Consider the following 18,503-nt stretch of genomic DNA (forward strand, 5'->3'; position numbering starts at 1 on the left):
TATGTTTTCTCAAATTTCCCAGAGGCGTTCAAGCCCCACTTACTGAGTTGGAAAGCTCCCTAGAGAAGGCGCTTCTCCCTGTATCTCCTCTTGCCCTGTGTCTCTCAGAGCGGAGACCCAAGGAGTATACAGGTGTTTTCTTGAATCGCAGTGATGTTCTTTTAGTCACAGAAGCTGATTTTTAAGGAGCTATTCCCCCTTGTTCTTCAGAGAAGCGCTTGTATTGCCCCCGTTTTCAGCGTATGTGTGTGTAAAGGTCACCATTGCTGGCGTAGCGGCCGTTCTGGATCCTGTGCTCTGGTGTTCTGTGTCTGGATCCCGTGCTCTGGTGTTCTGTGTCTGGATCCCGTGCTCTGGTGTTCTGTGGTAGAACGCACAGCGTCGTGCGAGTGCACGTTCGTGAGGAGGAAACACGCCTTGGACAAAGCCTGCAGCCAGGATCAGAAAGCGTAAATAAAGCAGGTGTCCGCTTTTAGCAGGAAGTCATTTAGGTGAAGTTACTCTATCTCAATTAACAAAAACTAGAGTGGCTTGGCCGGGTGCAGTGGCTCATGCCTGTAATCTCAGCACTTTGGGAAGCTGAGGCACGTAGATCACTTGAGGTCAGGAGTTTGAGGCCAGCCTGGCCAACATGGTGAAACCCCATCTCTACTAAAAATACAAAAAATTAGCCAGGCGTGGTGGCAGTCGCCTGTAATCCCAGCTACTTGGGAGGCTGAGGCAGGAGAGTTGCTTGAATCCAGGAGGCGGAGGTTGCGGTGAGCCGAGATCGTGCCACTGCACTACAGCCTGGGCAACGAGAGCAAAACTCCATCTAAAAAATAAAAATAAATAAAAACTAGAGTGGCTTTAATGTGCGAGCCTGAATGCAAAACGCAGCTCACCGCCTCTACCTGGAGATCAGGAACCCCGGGCCACACAGGGCCATACGCTGGGTCTCTGTGGGATCCAAAGCCCCTGTGGGTTGTGTTGGGGGACAGCAGCTCCTGGGCTTTCCCCGCTAACTGCCACCGTTGCTTGTGTTACAGCGCGTTCCTTCACCTCGGGCAGAATAACTTTGCAGAAGCCCACAGGTTCTTCACAGAGATCTTAAGGATGGATCCAAGAAACGCAGTGGTAAGATCCCCAAGCTGCAGGATCCTCCATCCTCTGCCTTTCACAGACGCTAGAAACATACACCCACACACGTCTCAGCAGGGGCCTGCGCTCTCTCTCTCCAGTCCACCAGCTCCAGGCAGTGGCTGTGGCCCTTAGGGGAAGTGACCCAACAGGGCCACCTAGGCTCTGCCCAGCAGCTCTGCACCACCCCCAGGCCCCTAACACGGCCCAGCACGCAGCCTGGAATGGGCGGGCGTCTGTCCTGGTTGTGTGGGCCAACCCTGGGCGTGTGCTCCTCCCTAGGCCAACAACAACGCTGCCGTGTGTCTGCTCTACCTGGGCAAGCTCAAGGACTCCCTGCGGCAGCTGGAGGCCATGGTCCAGCAGGACCCCAGGCACTACCTGCACGAGAGCGTGCTCTTCAACCTGACCACCATGTACGAGCTGGAGTCCTCACGGAGCATGCAGAAGAAACAGGCCCTGCTGGAGGCTGTCGCCGGCAAGGAGGGGGACAGCTTCAACACACAGTGCCTCAAGCTGGCCTAGCTGCCTCCAACACACTACGTCAGAAGGACCCGGGTCTTTGAAACTGTGTCTTGAAGCTAATGTATTAATGTGACATGGAGGAACTCAATAAAACTCCTGCTTCACTGGTGTCTGCTGCGTGTCTTCTTGGTCCCAAGCCACGGCCCAGCCCAGGACTTCCCCGCAGTTGGTCGGCGTTCAGCCACGCAGTCCCTGCAGCTGGGTCACTGTTCATGAATGCAAGGGGCAGGCGTGCTGGGAGGACACAGCTCGTAGACAGGAAATCTGGAGTCAGCCTCGGGGCCTCTGTTCTGGAGGCCAATCCTGCTTTGCTCGTTCCTTCTGGACATCCTCAGAGAAAAGCTGGGAGGTGTGGAGACCCTCTCGCCGTGCACCTGCACGTACAGGGAGATTTACAACAGGGAAGACACCCCCCACAGATCGCCGCTCATGCTCCTCTTGCCCTCCCCACACACCCAAAACTAAGTGCGTTGGTCTTACCCATCCGAGTCTCCTCCAGCCTGATGCCAGCCAAACGACCCCTGCCAGCCTGGCGGTGGAGGAGAGGCCATCACTGTTTCTCCCATAGTTTATACGTCCACGTGGAGAGTGAGCTGAGTGGAACAGGAAGCACGACGCATAATGAAGCACAGGAAGAGCGCGTAAAACGCAGGCAGGCAGGGGCTGGGGGTGGTTTTGAAGCCAGACACGTGTTTTCATGTGTTCTCTCATGCCTGAAAGGCCTTTTGCCCTTACGTTTACACAGTTATTCCTGCTTTTGAAGAACTTAAAGTACCTGAAAATGTCTTCACTTTACGAAAGAACTCTGCCAAGGGTTCTCTAAATATCTAGCTTTGTGGATAGTTTTAAATATAATTCATTTTACAGACTGTGATATAAACATTTGCACAAAGCGAAGCCATATTTCTGTTAATTTTTGTAATAGAGTAGAAACATACAAACACTGCATCTACCAGACAGTCTCAGCCCATTTGCTGACATCTAGATTAATTATGCATTAAAAGAAAAGAAAAAAGAGGTGAGACAGCCAAAAGGACTGTTGGACACCAAGGAGGTTTCAAGATCTTTCTCTTCAAAAAGAGAACTGAAACTATTGTTAAGCCCAGAAAGATGAAGATGTAATTAGAAGCCCTCCACCTTGAGGGTCTTCCTTCAAATGTGACTTCAGGGATGAAGTGTAAGGCTCTTCCTCTGCTCCAACCTGGCACCTTACTGCAGGCATCTTACAGGATTTGCCAGAGGATTATGGAGCCCGTCCTTTACAGGCTCGGGGCTCAGAGCTGTCCCCGGCCAGTTGTGCGGGAAAGCAGACAGCAGTGCCCAGGCTCCAGCTAGACATGAGCCCGGCAAATCAGAAACAGAGATCAAAGTTCCCTAGTAAGCTGGTAAGCCTAAATCCACCCTCCCTCCCAAGCCCCACCCCCATGCTGCTGGCATGAGGCCAGGCCAGGTGACAGTATCATTGCCTCGTTTCTTGCCTGGATTATTTCTTCCTGGTTTTTTTGTTTTTTTTTTTTTTTTTTTTTTTGAGACAGGATCTTACTCTGTCATCCATCCAGGCTGAAGTGCAGTGGTGCAAACATGGTTCACTCCAGCCTCAACCTCCTGGGATCAAACGATTCCCCACTCTCAGCCTCCTGAGTAGCTAGGACCACAAGTGTGCTCCACCACGCCCAGATTTTTTTTATTTTTATAAAGATGGGATCTCACTATGTTGCCCAGGCCAGTCCCTAACTCCTGGCCTCAAGTGATCCTCCCACCTCGGCCTCCCAAAGTGCTGGGGTTACAGGTGTGAGCCATGGTGTCCAGCTAATTTTTTTTTCCTACTGCCTGTATGATTGCAGAATTTTTTGTTTTGTTTTGCTAGAAGAGGAAAACGGTGCTGTGAGTGTCTATAACGTCTGGGACAATTGTAGCTTATCTAGTTTACACTTAGCTTTTCTTTATGTTAAAAATAAATTATACATCCCAGAAATCTTTTCTAGAGCCAATTGAAGTGAATGGCTAACGATCAGAAAGCTTATTTTCTAACTGGAAAATGGGAACTCGCTGAGTTGATGATGGGCTCACAACTGTGGAAATGCCCACCCTGGAATGCACAGTGGAGAATGAAGAAGCCAGTAACCCTGATGGCATCGTTACCGAATGGCCAGGGTGTGCCAGGCGGCAAGGGTGGATTTGCTCCCTGAATGATCCATCCAGCTGAATCTTGAGTCATTCCGCGTTTGCCACGAGGGGCAGTGTTAGATCAGTGGTCCTCAAAGTGGGGTCCCCGAAGCAGCAGCACCAGGTTCTCCTGGGAACTTGACGGAAATGCACATCCTCAGCCACATCCTCTGATCACAGAGGAGTCAACTGCTGGGGCCTGGGCTGGGCCGGCCCGACAGTGTCGTCTGCACCGCCCTCCAGGAGCTTCTGGTGCTCCTGCAGGTGTGAGAACGCATGTCAGACGCCGGAGGCCACAGACAGAATTCCAGTTACACAGCAGGCGTTGGAGCCCATGGGCATCGCCATCCTGCCTTACACTGCTGGCCTCTTCTATGCCCCCTCGAGGATTGTGCCCCCACTTGTTCTCTCTGCCTGGACCCCTCCTGGCATGCACCTTCCTAGTCCCTATTCAGTGTCACCCCCTGAAGCCTGCCCTCAACCCCAGGACAGTGCAGCCCCGTCCACACTCCCCTTACCTCTTGTCCTGGACCCACACAGGCTCCGCAGCACCTGCTCCTGGCACGGCCCCACAGTTGCAGTACTTGGGCTGGAGCTGCCGCCATGAGGTCCTCCTTCAAACACCCAGTTCCAGCGTTCCCCGGGAAGCTTCCCATGCCATCTTGTCACGTCTTGCACCCAGCACCGAGGGTGAGGCCCGGCAAAGCAGAGCTGCAGGGGCTCAGCTGTGTACACCACAGTTCTTGAGACGCCCACCTGTGTGTCCTCCCCGATCCTGCTCCACAGGTCCAGGCCCAGGCCCAGAGGTAGCCCCTGCGTTCCCGTGGCTTCAGGCACACGTGTGCAGACATGACGCCGAGAACACCGGCTTTGCCACCAAGGACAGAAGACAGTCTGCCCCACCCGGGGTCACCTGCAGGTCCTGCTCTGACCAGGGTCCAGGCCCTGATTCCGGGGATGCGACAGCACCCAGAATGTCCTGCCTTGTGTGGCACGTGGGACCGGGGACTCGGGCCCCAGGGCTCCCAACCCTGGCTGTGGAGAGTGGGTGGCTCCGCTGCTGGTCGGGGGCACTGTGTGGGCAGACAGCGTGCCAGTGGCCACAGGATGTCCTGACAGCAGAGGCGCTAAACACTCCAGGAGCGCCTCAGCCCCAAGCTCTGGTTCCACCCCTTGCGGGTGAGGGAGGCCCAATGACAGCCAGACTCCATCAGTTCAGAGGCAGGGGCTAGAGATGGATTTAATTCAACTTAAAAAGAAATACAAGAATGGACCTTTTCTGCAGTCCTGAGGGAGTGGACAGGTTGCGTGCGTGCTCTGACGGTGGGATCCAGACCCCCTCCTCTCCTGCGTTGAAGGTGCCACCGGGCCTCATCCCCAGCCACATCACATCCTGAGCCTCTTACAGGCAGGCCCCGAGGTCCTTTCACCTTTCTCTTCTCTCCAGTGCTTGGTGCATTTTCAAACTCAGTACCTTTCTTTTGAATAAATGAGCAAGAATAAACCCGGTGCTGCTTGCCGAGCTCCTCTCCCTGGGCGGGGAACTAAAGCAAAACCACGCTGGATGGGGTCCCAAACACCCTAAGAAGGCCGAGCTCCTGCCGCTCTCCAGCACGCGCACCGAAGACCGGAGGGAGGGTCTGTCGCTCTCCTGCAGGAGCACGAGTGGAGGGAGGGCCTGCGGCGCTCCAGCAGGAGCATGAGGAGTGGAGGGAGGGCCTGTCACTCTCCAGCACGCACACCGAGGAGTGGAGGGAGAGCCTGTCGCTCTCCAGCAGAAGCACCAAGGATTGGAGGGAGGGCCTGTCGCTCTCCAGCAGGAGCACGAGGAGTGGACTGCCGGCCCGTCACTCTCCAGCACGTGCACCACGGAGTGGAGAGAGAGCCTGTCACTCCAGAAGGAGCACCAGGAGTGGACTGCGGACCCGTCACTATCCAGCACGTGCACCAAGGAGTGGAGGGAGGGCCCCTTGCTCTCCAGCAAAAGCACCAAGGATCGGAAGTAGGGCCTGTCGCTCTCCAGCACGTCCCCCCCCGGCAGTGGAGGGAGGGCCCGTCGCTCTCCAGCATGAGCACCCAGAGATGGAGGAAGGGTCAGCCATTTGTCAGGCTCTGCGTGTGAAAAGCTGTGATTTCATTTCTTATCAGTTATTACTGTCACTATCACTCAGGATGAAATTGGCCTCACCCGCTCAGGAGCAATGCTGCCTTCTCCCTGTCCTCCTCCTGGATTGTTGAGGAAAAAGCCAGACTAACCTGTTCCACACCTTGGCATCAGTTGCATAAATGCTATCTCAGCATGTTCTAGAACACAGTACTGTTTAAACAACGTTCTGGGGGTAACCAAGTTTATAACTTGCAGACCCGATGGCCGTAAAGCATGGGGTGGGGGGGTGCCTGCCTGCATTGCAGCTGTCAGAGCTGCACAGAGCCTGCGACACCCAGCCATGGCTTCTGCCCACCAGGCCACGTCCCTCCGCTCCTCTGAATCCTTCCAGTTCTTCTTAGGCCACTTAAACGCCACCGTCTCCACGAAGTCCTGTCGGATCACCCTCATAGGAAGTGACAAACCACGTTTTGAACCCCTCTCCCCACCCAGCAAGCCCCTAGCCCGCGAGCATAGGATTTCCTTTCTAGAACACGTGTTCTGTGAAGGGCCAGAGGCAATATTTGAGGCCTCGTGGGCCACATGCTGTCCCTGTTGCATATCCTTTTTTTTGTTTGGTTTGGTAAACTGCTTAAGCTGGCAGAACAACAGAACCCGCACATTCTCCACGCAGCCCAGCGCCCTTGGCCATGCAGGGCTGTGCCTTCTGCCAGCTCTGGAGGCCCAGGGGCTGGCATGGGCCTCCCGTCCTGAGCCCCCCATGTACATTGCACCCATACTGGGAACGCCCCCAGGATCTGCTGCGAGACCCCCAAGGACCAGCTTCTGCAGTCCTGGAAGGGCTCTCCTGACCCCCAAGTCCGCCATCTTCTGATGGTGGCAGGTGGGCACAGTCACTGGCTGAGCGACCAAGGGTCAGTGAGATTACTAGGCCGGCGCTGCACCCAACTGAAATGAACTCACGTGTCCTCACAACTCCTAGCAGCAGATGCTGTCAGCCTCGCATCCTACAGGAAAGGAACCATCGCCAAAAGACGCTGAGGAACATCCCGAGGGTCACAGGGACAGTGCAGAGCCAGGACCAGCCCGGCCCATGGTCCCCCAGCGTGCACCACCTGGCCCGGCACTGTGTGCTCAGCCATGAGGACTGGGAAGAGTCCTGCCCACAGCTCAAGTGTCTACACCGCACTGCCATCCAGGCTGTGAGCCGCTGCTGAGCATGGGGAATGTGGCTGCTGCAGAGACGTTATGAAACACTTCTAAAAGAATGTAAAAGATCTCATTAATAATTTTGAGTACCTGTTAAAATGATAGTAATTTTGGATCTAGTAGATTAAATAAAACATATTATTAAAATTAAGATGACCTTTGAACATTTTTAACGTGGCTACTAGAAAACTTTAAGTTACGTATGTGGCGCCCATTTGTGGCTCCCATTCTGTTTCTGTTGGATGGTGCCAAAGAAACCAACACGTAAAAGCCCCTGCAGAGGAGCCGCTGCTTTGCCAATGGTTAGTGGTCAGTGTGGGTTCTGCCCTCTGGGTTCCTGGCAACCAGGGCTGCTCTCTGAGGGCTGAGGTTGCCACGGGCTAGGCAGATACTGGCCCTGCAGCCCTCACTCTCCGGAGGGCGTGGGGCATGGGATGGGATGTTTCAGAGGACGTGGGGCATGATGGGACGGGAAGTTTCAGTGGGTGTGGGGCATGATGGGACGGGGTGTTCCGGAGGGCGTGGGGCATGATGGGACGGGATGTTTACTCTGCTCCATGGCCTTACAGTGTTAAGTGTAAGTCAGCATTGAAAGCAGTTTTCCCTGGAACATAGAATTCTAGTTGATGCGGATCCAGAACCACGGAGGGTCCTACAACTGCTAGGCTGAAGGCTGACTTACCAAAGGCCACAGAGCATCTCTCCCCCAGCAGGTTCCTGTGGCACTTGCATGTGTGTCTTTTTCTTTTTCCCCCAAATAATTTTCCAGTTTTATTCTTTTCCTTTGACATAGAAGAACACAATTACCGAGAGAAGAAAAGGAAGGCGAGGGTGACTGCGCGCCTCCCCATCCCCACCCCCATTCCCACACGGCTCATTTCAACTCTGGGAGGGTTTACAGGTAAGAATGTGAAAATCAGAAACGTCAGGTAACTTTTCCAAGGACCCACAGTTTAAAGCGGGAGAGAGGGAGGGATTCCAATCCAAATCTAACAGTGAGGCTCATGGTGGTGCCACGATCTGTGTTGCCGTTTCACACACTGCATATTGCTTTGCAGTGGAGAGCTGAATCCACAGGCAGGGCCGGACCCACCAATGGGCTGCCGTGGATAGGCTTTGGGCTCCAGCACCACACACATGGCCACACGCTTACACATACAACACACACATGCACTCACACACGGAGGACCGTGTTCACCTGCGTCTAGGTCCTTTCCACCTCGAGGTTTACCTTTATTGGACCTGGAACCCGATTACGGGCAGTCTGTTCCCGCGTCGCCCACCCTCGTCCGTGGGAGAAGTGCCATCTCCGGGACCGTGTTAGGCGTCCAGCACAGCCAGCCAGGCTCTCCAGCCTCACTCCCTCCACCCCAGGGCCCCGAGGCTCTGCCCACCGAGATGACACCCTGCGACCTCCACCCTGGCTCCTTCTGGTCACCCTGACACCCACTCCTCAAATGCCCACAGTGAGCCTGGGGTCCTGCTGCCTGTGGAGTGGACCCAGTGCGTCTCCCTAAAGCCTCCAGCTGGCTTGGCCTTTGTCTCAGCCTCCACCTGCTTCCCGGGGTCAGGGAACCCTGCCAGCTCCCTGGGCGTGCTGAGCTGGACAGTCAGCGAACTGCATCCCTGAACCCTCGCCCACTGCTCCAGGAAACTCACCCACCCTCAGGGCTGCTGGAATTCACATCCGATGGGTGGAGTTTATTCTCTGCACCCCAGGGCCCCCCACACATGTCAGGAGGAAGAGCTGCCCTGGCACCATGGGTAGACTGCAGGGAGACCCCAGGATGCGGGGAAACCCCAGGATATGGGGAGACCCCAGGATGCGGGGAAACCCCAGGATATGGGGAGACCCCAGGATGCGGGGAGACCCCAGGATGTGGGGAGACCCCAGGCTGTGAGAAGGCCCCAGGCTGCAGGGAGACCCCAGGATATGGGAGACCCCAGGATGCGGGAAGACCCCAGCATATGAGAAGGCCCCAGGCTGCAGGGAGACCCCAGGATATGGGGAGAAGCCAGACTGCAGGGAGACCCCAGGATGCAGGGGAGACTCCAGGCTGTGAGAAGGCTCCAAGCTATGGGAAGACACCAGGCTGTGGGGAGAAGCCAGACTGCAGGGACACGCCAGGATATGGGGAGAGACCTGGCTATGGGGAGAGCCTGGGCAACAGGGAGAGGCCAGGCTGTGGGGAAACCCCCAGATGGGGACAGAGGCCAGGCTGTGAATGGGAAACTGCGTCTGTTTCCTGAGGCTGCCGTAAGACACTCCTAAGTATGAGAGCACAGACTTGATTCCCTCCCCATTCTGGAGGCTGCCGTCAGCAGGCCATTCCTAGAGAGGCTCCTTCCTCTCCTCTTCCGGCCTCTGGGGGCTCCCGGTGCCCTTGGCTTGTGGCCACATCACTCCGGTCTCTCCTCTGGTCACACAGCCTCCTCCGTGTGCCAAATCTTTTGCGGAGCCACTTAAGATGGTATTTGGGGCCCACGGTAATCCAGAATAATCTTCTCATCTCAAGATCCTTAAGCTAATTACATCTGCAAAAGCCCTTTTTCCAAAACAGGTCACGTGCACAGGTCCCAGGGCTTAGGATGGGGCCGTGACCTTGGGAATGCTCAGCGGCCAACCACAAACGCCCACTGAGTAGCTTCCTGGGGCTGCTGTAACAAGGTGCCCAAACAGAGCAGCTTAAAATAGAACTGCATCTTCTCACAGTTCAGGGGGCTGGAAGGCTGCACGCGAGCTGCAGGCTGGCTGCATTCTCTGGAGGCTCTGCAGTGGCGTCTGTCCCAGGCCTCTCTCCGTGGTGGCCATGGCAGTCCTCGGTGCTCCTGGCTTTCGGCCACATGGCCCCAGTCTCTGCCTTTGTGTTTATGTGGCCTCCTCCAGTGTCTCTGTCTTCTGTTCCTGCAGAGACAACAGTCTTTGGAGCTAGGGCCCACCCTAGTCCAGGATGATTCCATCTCAAACCCCTATTTAATTACATCTGCAAAGACCATTTCCAAAAAGGTCACATTCCGAGGTTCCGAGCAGACATGAACTTTTAGTGGACGTTATTCGAGCCCCTCCACCTCACAGACAGGCTCTGGTGGACTCCTCACCTCAACCCTGCTCCAAGGGTACATGATGTCCCCCTTTACAGACAGGGAGACTGAGGCACAGCTTGAAGAACCTGCCCACGGCCACACAGCTACTGCAGCAGCAGAACTGGGGTGATTCCATCTGAGCCTTCATCCATGCAGACACCTCCAAGCCCAAGGCATCCACGGAGGGCTCCTCCCTCGTCTTCTCCACACCCCAAGCTCACAGGGATGTTTCTCTGTGGAGGTGGAGCAGGCAGTGCTGCCCTGGGGCCTCTATCCTGGGATCTCTGGGGCCAGCTTCAATGTCATCATGGGTGGCCGCTGGCCCAAAGTCCTGCTCAGCAGCAGCAGCAGCAGGACAGGCCTCTGGAGAGCATGCCTCTGTCTCTGGCCCTGCCAGTGGCGTCCTTGTGTCCTTGGGGACCCCACACACACACATTCTTCTGCAGAGGCAATCAATAAAGCCGGGGCACCAAGGAGGCTTCAGGAGTGATTAGCAATGGAGCAGGCTGGAAAATACGCGGACGCTAGGGCAGATCGTATTGATTCCATTGACTTGCCCTTTGCCAGGCTGTTGTATTTATAACTCAGATGAAATCCTATTTGGATTTTAGAATGGGTGGGTTTATAACTCAGATGAAATCCTATTTGGATTTTAGAATGGGTGGGTTTATAACTCAGATGAAATCCTATTTGGATTTTAGAATGGGTGGGTTTTTTTGAACAGTTGGTGCAAAATAAACACAAGCATTTTTAACATGGACAATGAAACACATTAAACTATAATAATAAAGGCAGGCAGGCAAGCACGTCCATGGGAAAGTGGTTTCAGTTGAAAAGTAAGCTCCACCCCAGAACTGTCACACCTGCACTGCTCACGCCAGGGACAGACCGTGATAGGAGCACAGCCTCCTGTCCTCCAGCCCCCGCCCAGCCCAGCTTCCCCAGCCCTGCTGACCTGGGGGCTGTCTTCATGCCTGGATGCTTCTAGTGCCCTGCCCCCGCCACGTTTAAGAGAATGTTTTGAAAAATAATCACTTCCCAAGGCAGAAAACAGAGAGCAAAACACAGAGCGATTCAGAAGAGCCGCCTGCTCAGGGGTGCCCCGGATGTTATCTGCAACCTGGCACGGCCCGACTGCAGGCCTCAGCCCTGTGCCCTGGCCCCACCTGAGCAATTCCTCTGCCCTCTTCAGGGCCCAGCCAGGTGGTCACAGCAAATCTGGTCAGGACCAGGGACAATCAGCCCGCAGGGACGTCCTGCCTCAGCCATCCACTTGATGGTGACGACTGCCCCGACCCCTCTCTCTCAGCAGCTGTGCCTGCCTGGAGCCCCCGTACCCCTCACCCGGCCGTAAGGGCTGCTGCACCCTCTGCTCTCCTCACTGGACTGTGGCGTCCTGAGGAACCCACCAGCCACTTTCTTATGCATCTCGGCACTCAGGGGACAAAACCAGCTCTCCCGGAGGGGCTTGTGGGACCGAGTTTCACTGAGAGACATGGTGAATGGAAGAACTTCACGCATCATAGCAGGCAGAGGACTCCGGGAGCCCTTGACCCAACCCACAGGTCATCTTACCAGTACTAGCGACTCACTGCGGTAGTGAGTTGGGTGAGGCCCAGAAGTCCCTCCTGGTCACTTGCGATGGGATGAAGATATTTTTGAAACCTAGAGAGACAGGGTTATCTAACAGAGTAAGAAAGCCAGGGCTGGCTTCTTTCCCCTCGGAATGAAGTTCAAGCCTCCTCTGTCCCATAAGTGCACAAATGTCCACCGTGCTAACTTTACACGCTCCATTTTTACTTTGGGCAAGCAGGATTTGCAGCGCGGGAGAGATGACCTGGACATGAGCCGGCAGTGGCCTGCGCACCACAGGAGGCCCTTCAGCCGACGGCCATGTCTGCGCTGCGCGATCCTGTCCCTGTCAGAGCCGCTGACCTGGGTCTAGTCCCACAGAACCTCTCCTGGAGCCTTGGGGACCAGGGCTGGCAGCTGAAGTCACTCCTCTGCGTAATGGAATGAGAAGTAAGGCTTTAAGACGTCAACACTGTGTCTACACTGTGTCCCACCGTGAGCAGACGTGGCTTGGTCCCTGATCCCCCAGGGCAGGCACCCCCAGGCACAGGCTCCTTCACATTGGGCTTCTGTCACTTGTAACAAAAAGAGCCCCAACTAAGACAACAGAAGAGATCGTGTAACGACATTTCGAAGCACAGAGTCGGAATCCTGGGAAGACGAGAACGGCAATCCTGGGCAAAGCTCCAGGCAGATGCAGGGCCAGAGCCTCCCTCAGGGCTCCTCCCAGGACCTCCCCCCAGGGCTCCTCCCAGGACCTCCCCCCAGGGCTCCCGGCCTCTGCAGGTTGCCTGGGACAAGAGGTCTTCCTTCCTAGTCCCTCTAACCTCTCCACTGAGAGCACCCCATGAGCCTGGCGCCCCAGGCACTGTGCAGGAGGGAACAGCAGGCCGGCAGCCTCTGCCCTGTGGGTCCGCACAGCCTGGGGAGCGGGGACAGAATGCACCCCCCACTGCGATCCCACCTGTCTGCCTCCATCCTTCCCCATCCACTCCGAGGCCGGACGTTGCCTGACTAGGACAGCTCTTCTCCTATTTCTCAGATGTCTGTTCCATTGGTTTCTCTTTGTCAAGATGTCTGATCCACCGTCAGCAGTTTCTTGAGTGGAGGTGAGCACTGTGGTTAGGGAGTCACACTTAGGCACCAGTTACCTACGCCATGTAACAACACTGCTCTGAAACTTGTGCCTTATGACAGGAACATACATTCTCGCCTGCAGTCTCCGGGTTAGCTGGGTGGTGTGGGGCTCTCCTGAGGTTGCCCTCAAGGTGACGGCTGGGGCTGCATCATCTGAAGGCTCAACGGGGGCTGGAGGACCTGCTTCCACACACCCCGAGCCAGCAGCACTGCTGGCAGAGGCCTCAGACCTCCCCAGAGAGCTGCACAAGTGTCCTGCGGACGTGGCAGCCAGCTTCCCCAGAGCGCAATGTCTGAGAGCAAGCAGGAAACTACATGCCAACAGAGGCCACCCACAGCCACCTCAGCCGCTTCCTACTCATTAGAAACAAGTGACCAACAGAGACCATGCTGAAGGGGAGGATAAATTGAGGGAGATCGTCAGAAACTTGTGGTTGTATTTTTTAAAACAACACACTTAATTTTTTAAAAAATTGTTGTCATTTCACTGGATTTGGGGCACTGGGGAGACTGACCCACATCTTCTCCTCCACCACCCAGATTCCTATCATGTGCTGATCTGAACGTTTAATTTTCAGAAAGGAGAAAGTCTCCTCCAAGTTCTTCAGGAAATTCATCCCAATATTCATCAGATGCTTTTAAGGAACACCAGAAAAAACTCCAGGTCTGCCCTGGGGATAGCTCTGAACCCCCTGTGTGGTTTAACACACACAGAACTTCCCGTTGCACTGCTGACAGGTACCACGTGGGAAAGAGCTCACTGGGGTCAGCAAAGCTGGGGAAGCAAAGCTAAGCACAGCCCCGAGGCCTCCAGCTGCTCCCTGCACGACGGCTCTCCCCAAGAGGGACTCAGACTCCCAACCCATAATAGAACCCTTTCAATGCATGGCTTCACAGACTAGCTTTCCTCAGAGCATGCATTGTAAAGACACCAGCCTGGAGCGTCAGTTGGGAGTTTATCATCCAAAGACCATTAGAGGAGCAAAAATCCCCACCTGTCACCCAGCTCCAAGAGTCAGAGACCCCCAAGTTGCAAGGAACAGCAAAGGAGCCCCACGCCACAGGCCACTCGGCCACCTCCCTTCCGTCTCCAAGGGGGTCTGAAGACCTCAGGATGGTGCAAGCCCCAGGGAGGCCCCGGAGAGCCTTTGTTTCCCCTTTCGGTGACTGAGCCAGCCCTGCTGTCAGCATCCCTGACGGGTCAGGCCATCCTAGGGCCCTCGCTGGCCAGGTGGCCCTGCACACACATGCTCCCAGGTGGCACCCGGGGCCAGAGATCCCCTAATGAATTTCTTGCTGCACATAGGCTGAGTCCAGGGACTGTACATGCTCTCCTGCATCTTTGCTGGGAGCTCCATCTCTGCTGGGAGCACCATGCTATATCTGCTGTGTGTCTGTGACCCTCATCTGTGACACCCTGGTTCCAGACTTTATTTTCGGTCTCAACACACATGTAATAAGAGATGTGTGCAAAGGGACTTTCAGGATAAACTGGCTCCACCACCCTATCCCTTCGCCAGCGCCTGGCCCAGTGTCCAGCACACAGGAGGCAAGCATTTCTCAGATGTGGGATGCATGGCGCATCCCAGCGTCTTCTTTGTCAGAGAATGAGGGAGAAAAGAAACCACCAGAGTCTCCTGAAGGTGTTGCTGGAAAGAGCCCAGCTCACTGGCCGTGCACCTGCAGGCCGCTGGCCTCAGCACAGCCCCATCCCTAGAGTTCTCCCACGCCGCTGACAACAGGCGCTCCATCCATGGCCCGTGAAGTGCCCACGGGCTGCAGGTCTTCCCTTGAGATTCAGAAAGTACCTGCCGCTCAGCCCCTGTACACACCTGTCATGCCTCTCGGGCTCAAGTGATCCTCCCACCTCAGCACCTCAGTATCTGGGACCACAGGTGCCTACCACCCTGCTCGGCTAATTTTTGTATTTTTAGTAGAGATGGCGTTTCACCATGTTAGCCAGGCTGGTCTCAAACTCCTCAAGTGATCCTCCTGCCTCGGCCTCCTGAAGTGCTGGGATTACAGGCGTAAGCCACCGCGCCCGTCCTTTTTGTAATTAGGTTTTCACTGCATAAATCATAAAACGATTACAGGTCTCCAGAAACTGCTGCCTGATACACTTTCCAAAGTAAACAGCTTTTGGAAAAATGGCTGTTTTTAGATCACATCTAAATGTCGCATTCTTGGTCTGTGTGACTAGAACCAGACTCCAGCCATCCACCCGCCCACCTGGGGTATCACACACCAGGCTCTGGGAACGCGCAAGAAGCCGGCATGCTGGGAAGTTACTCATAGCTCCTGGGGTCACCCTCCCGCCCCATGCCCATCCGGATGAGATGTTTTCGTGAGTTGCGTAACTCACAGCCACCCGGTAACACGATCGACCAACAGAGGCCTCACTCTCGGGAAACCGAGGAGCCCGGCCGAGGCAGGGGAGCCCATCTTAGTTGTCAGAGCTGCGTCATGAGAACAAAATGTCTGAAGCTGCCAACTTCACCACAGAACTAGGGAAAACACCTCCATCAATAGAACCAGACGATCTCCTTGTGGACACGCAGGAAAACGTCTGCAGTGGTTACCTCACACGCCCCTCCTTGGGGGACAGGCAGGGAAAGAAAGGTCATGGAGCCCACAGTGGCTCATTTACATCCCTCAGTTCGTAACCACCAGCCTCTACAGGCTCTCTGAAGAGCTCGCAGAAGCACACGTGCACACACAGGCACGCAGGTCCACACGCATGCACACAAGTCCAACCACATGCATGACGATGTAAGCGCAGAAATGAGACCCCCTCCATCTCGGATTGGGTTTAATCTCCTGCAAATCAGCAAATCAGCAGCCACTCTGTGCAGTCAGGTGCCCACTGCAGCCCGGTTTGCCTTTCTAAATTTCATCTTAATTTAAGGAGGTAAAGAATGAAGTCCACACTCCACAGGATAACTACTTCTAAGGAGCTGGAAAGCTGTCTGGCTTATTGACACAAATTTAAGAAGGAATATTTCCTCCAAAGTCTTGGGTGAACCACAGCAGCTTGGGCAGTGTGGACGTCTGGCGTCCTGAGCTTGTGCTGGGCTGGAAGGAGAGCGGGGGAGTTTGTAAGGCAGGTTGCAGTGGTGTGGGCGGGAGACAGGGGTGGCGTTCACAGTGAGAGACGGCCAGGGGAGGCCCCTAGGAAGAATCCGCCCATCACAGTGGACGGAAGCCACGATTGGACGTGAGGCTTAATGTGAGCTCTGTGTACAAACAAAGCAACCAGCTCATTCTGTAGACCAGTATTAAACATGCTTATATTTTAAAATACAATTTTGATGCAAGAATTGAATTTAGTAGCTATATTTTCTAATCAAACATTAGAATATGTGGTCTGTACATATACGGCCAGAGGACAGAATGTCAGAAATGGGGACTGCAGGAAATAAACTGAGCTACGCAGTCACTGTGAGCCTAGCTCCTCCCTGCTTCCACCTAGTTCCAGTCCGATGAGGAGTGAGTCTCTCTTCGTCCTTCCCTTCTGTAAGAGGTCAATTTAGGCTTTTTTAAAATGGAGAGTTCAGGGTCATGAGCTGATAGCGGAGGCCTCTTTATCGTCATTTTTAATCAGCTCACACACAGAGACCATCACTGGGGCCCTGGCTAAGGAGGGGCATCTGCTGACAGTCGCTGCTCAGAGGCCAGCGGAGCGTCTCACCGGGCTCTCCATTCTTCCTTCTACACTTGAATGATAAGGATCGCAAATTTAAAGTAAAATCTTGAGCCCCCCAACTGACTGAATGGAACCCGTTGGCCAACCTTAAAAAACGAGTTCCCAGCCGGGGCGCAGTGGCTCAAGCCTGTAATCCCAGCACTTTGGGAGGCCAAGGCGGGCAGATAATGAGGTCAGGAGATCGAGACCAACCTGTCCAACACAGTGAAACCCCGTCTCTAATAAAAATACAAAAAATTAGCCGGGCGTGGTGGCAGACGCCTGTAATCCCAGCTACTCGGGAGGCTGAGGCAGGAGAATGGCGTGAACCTGGGAGGTGGAGCTTGCAGTGAGCCAAGATCGCGCCACTACACTCCAGCCTGGGTGACAGAGCGAGACTCCGTCTCAAAAAAAAAAAAAAAAAAAAAAATGAGTTCCCAGGCACGATGGACGGGAGGTCAGACACACCCCACTATACCCCCTCCCTTTTGGGATTTAGACACAACTGGCCAGCATTCATGTTAAAATAGAGATGGTGAGACCAGAGAACAGACTGTGGCAATAAGACACAAATCACACACAGGACCTAAGGCCTGGCCAGGCTACAGCGAAGTCTCGCACCCTGAACCTAAATAAGAAACTCTGTCCTCACCACCACCAAGGTTTTCTTCTCCAGCAGCTAAACCAGCGTTGGCCTTGAGATGAGCAAGATGAAAACAAGTCGTAGTTTATCCACCACCCGATGCTGGCTAACTGGCCCTGTTCCACCAGCCGTAACTACAGCTTTGATGGAACAAGAGACCGATTTCAGTAACTTCCTCTGGACAAGAATAAGCCCATGGATGGGCTCTGGCCGGCTGATAGAGGCTGAGCACTGGGAGCCTTCATGTCCCTGTTTCACCTTTAGAAGTGCAGAGCCTGCCTGGGATGCACGTAGATGTTAAGTCTCCTCTCCAAGGTGAACATGGGTTGTATGTAAGTGGATGTTTGTTCAATACACATGCGTCAGGACCACTTCATGAATATTCACAGCTCCTCCTGTAACCTGTTGAATATGTATGATCCTCCAGCCCATTCAGCATAAAGCTCCTGCCCCTTCTCCTCCAAGATGCCTGTCTGCGGTCTCTGCGGGAGGCTGTGCTTCCCAGCCTGCGGGATGCCACCTTGCAGAGTGTAACTCTTTACAAGAAATAATGTCTTTAGGTGGGCATGGTGGCTCACACCTGTAATCCCAACACTTTGGGAGGCCCAGGCGGATGGATCACCCAAGGTCAGGAGTTCGAGACCAGCCTGGCAACATGGTGAAACCCCATCTCCACTGAAAATACAAAAAAAATTAGCCGGGTGTGGTGGTGCACGCCTGTAATCCCAGCTACTCGGGAGGCTGAGGCAGGAGAATCGCTTGAACCCAGGAGGCAGAGGTTGCAGTGAGCCAAGATCACACCCCTCCACTCCAGCCTGGGCGACGAGAATGAAACTCCATCTCAAAAAAAAAGAAAAGAAAAAGAAAGAATGTCTCCTCTTCTAAATGTATAGATTGTGTCATCTTTTAGTTAACAAGATGAAGAGATGGATGGCAAGAAGAGAAATAAAAATCAGAAAGGAGATGATCCTATTCACTTTTCGGAAGTGAGGACAAAACCAAATAGGGAAATGAGCCGCCGCAGGAATGAAGAAGCCTGTAACAGCTATTCCAAACCGGGAGAGCGTCCTGGGGCCAGGACTTCATTGGGATAAGATGTTGAATCTGGAACAAGATAGAACAAGGCTGGACATTTCCTGGATTATCCACGCCTACTCCTTAGAAACAAGCGTGAAGTCCCCACAATGCGAGCAGGCCTCTCACCAGGTTGCCTGTGCTGTCTGCAGTGCGGTATCTACCTCGAGTAGGAAGACGGCAGG

The 18,503-nt window shown here is 54.4% G+C and overlaps 1 protein-coding gene, 1 long non-coding RNA gene and 1 pseudogene across 9 annotated transcripts in view; 2 read left to right on the forward strand and 1 right to left on the reverse strand.

Annotated features, from left to right (window-relative positions):
* Positions 1-1,748, forward strand: part of TRAPPC12 (trafficking protein particle complex subunit 12) — a 99,872-nt gene extending 98,124 nt beyond the window's left edge. For all 7 annotated transcript variants that reach the window (XR_426956.4, NM_016030.6, XM_011510350.3 and 4 more), the window contains 2 exons: positions 1,029-1,116; positions 1,402-1,748. Coding sequence is in view for 6 of the 7 variants with exons in the window: in NM_016030.6 (NP_057114.5) it covers positions 1,029-1,116; positions 1,402-1,644 (331 nt within the window). In the remaining variant the exon portion in view is untranslated. The remainder of the gene's footprint in view (positions 1-1,028; positions 1,117-1,401) is intronic.
* TRAPPC12-AS1 (TRAPPC12 antisense RNA 1) lies at positions 776-5,436 on the reverse strand. Its single transcript, NR_046720.1, has 2 exons — positions 4,329-5,436; positions 776-4,068 (listed from the first exon to the last, which is right to left on the reverse strand). It is a non-coding gene; the product is annotated as a TRAPPC12 antisense RNA 1 (long non-coding RNA).
* Positions 3,861-7,277, forward strand: LOC112268321 (uncharacterized; annotated as a pseudogene). Its single transcript, XR_004837588.1, has one exon. The product of XR_004837588.1 is annotated as an uncharacterized LOC112268321 (transcript).
* Positions 7,278-18,503: the final 11,226 nt, after the last annotated feature.

The sequence above is a fragment of the Homo sapiens genome, chromosome 2 (assembly GCF_000001405.40).
Source record: "Homo sapiens chromosome 2, GRCh38.p14 Primary Assembly".
In the NCBI taxonomy this organism is placed as follows: Eukaryota; Metazoa; Chordata; class Mammalia; order Primates; family Hominidae; genus Homo; species Homo sapiens.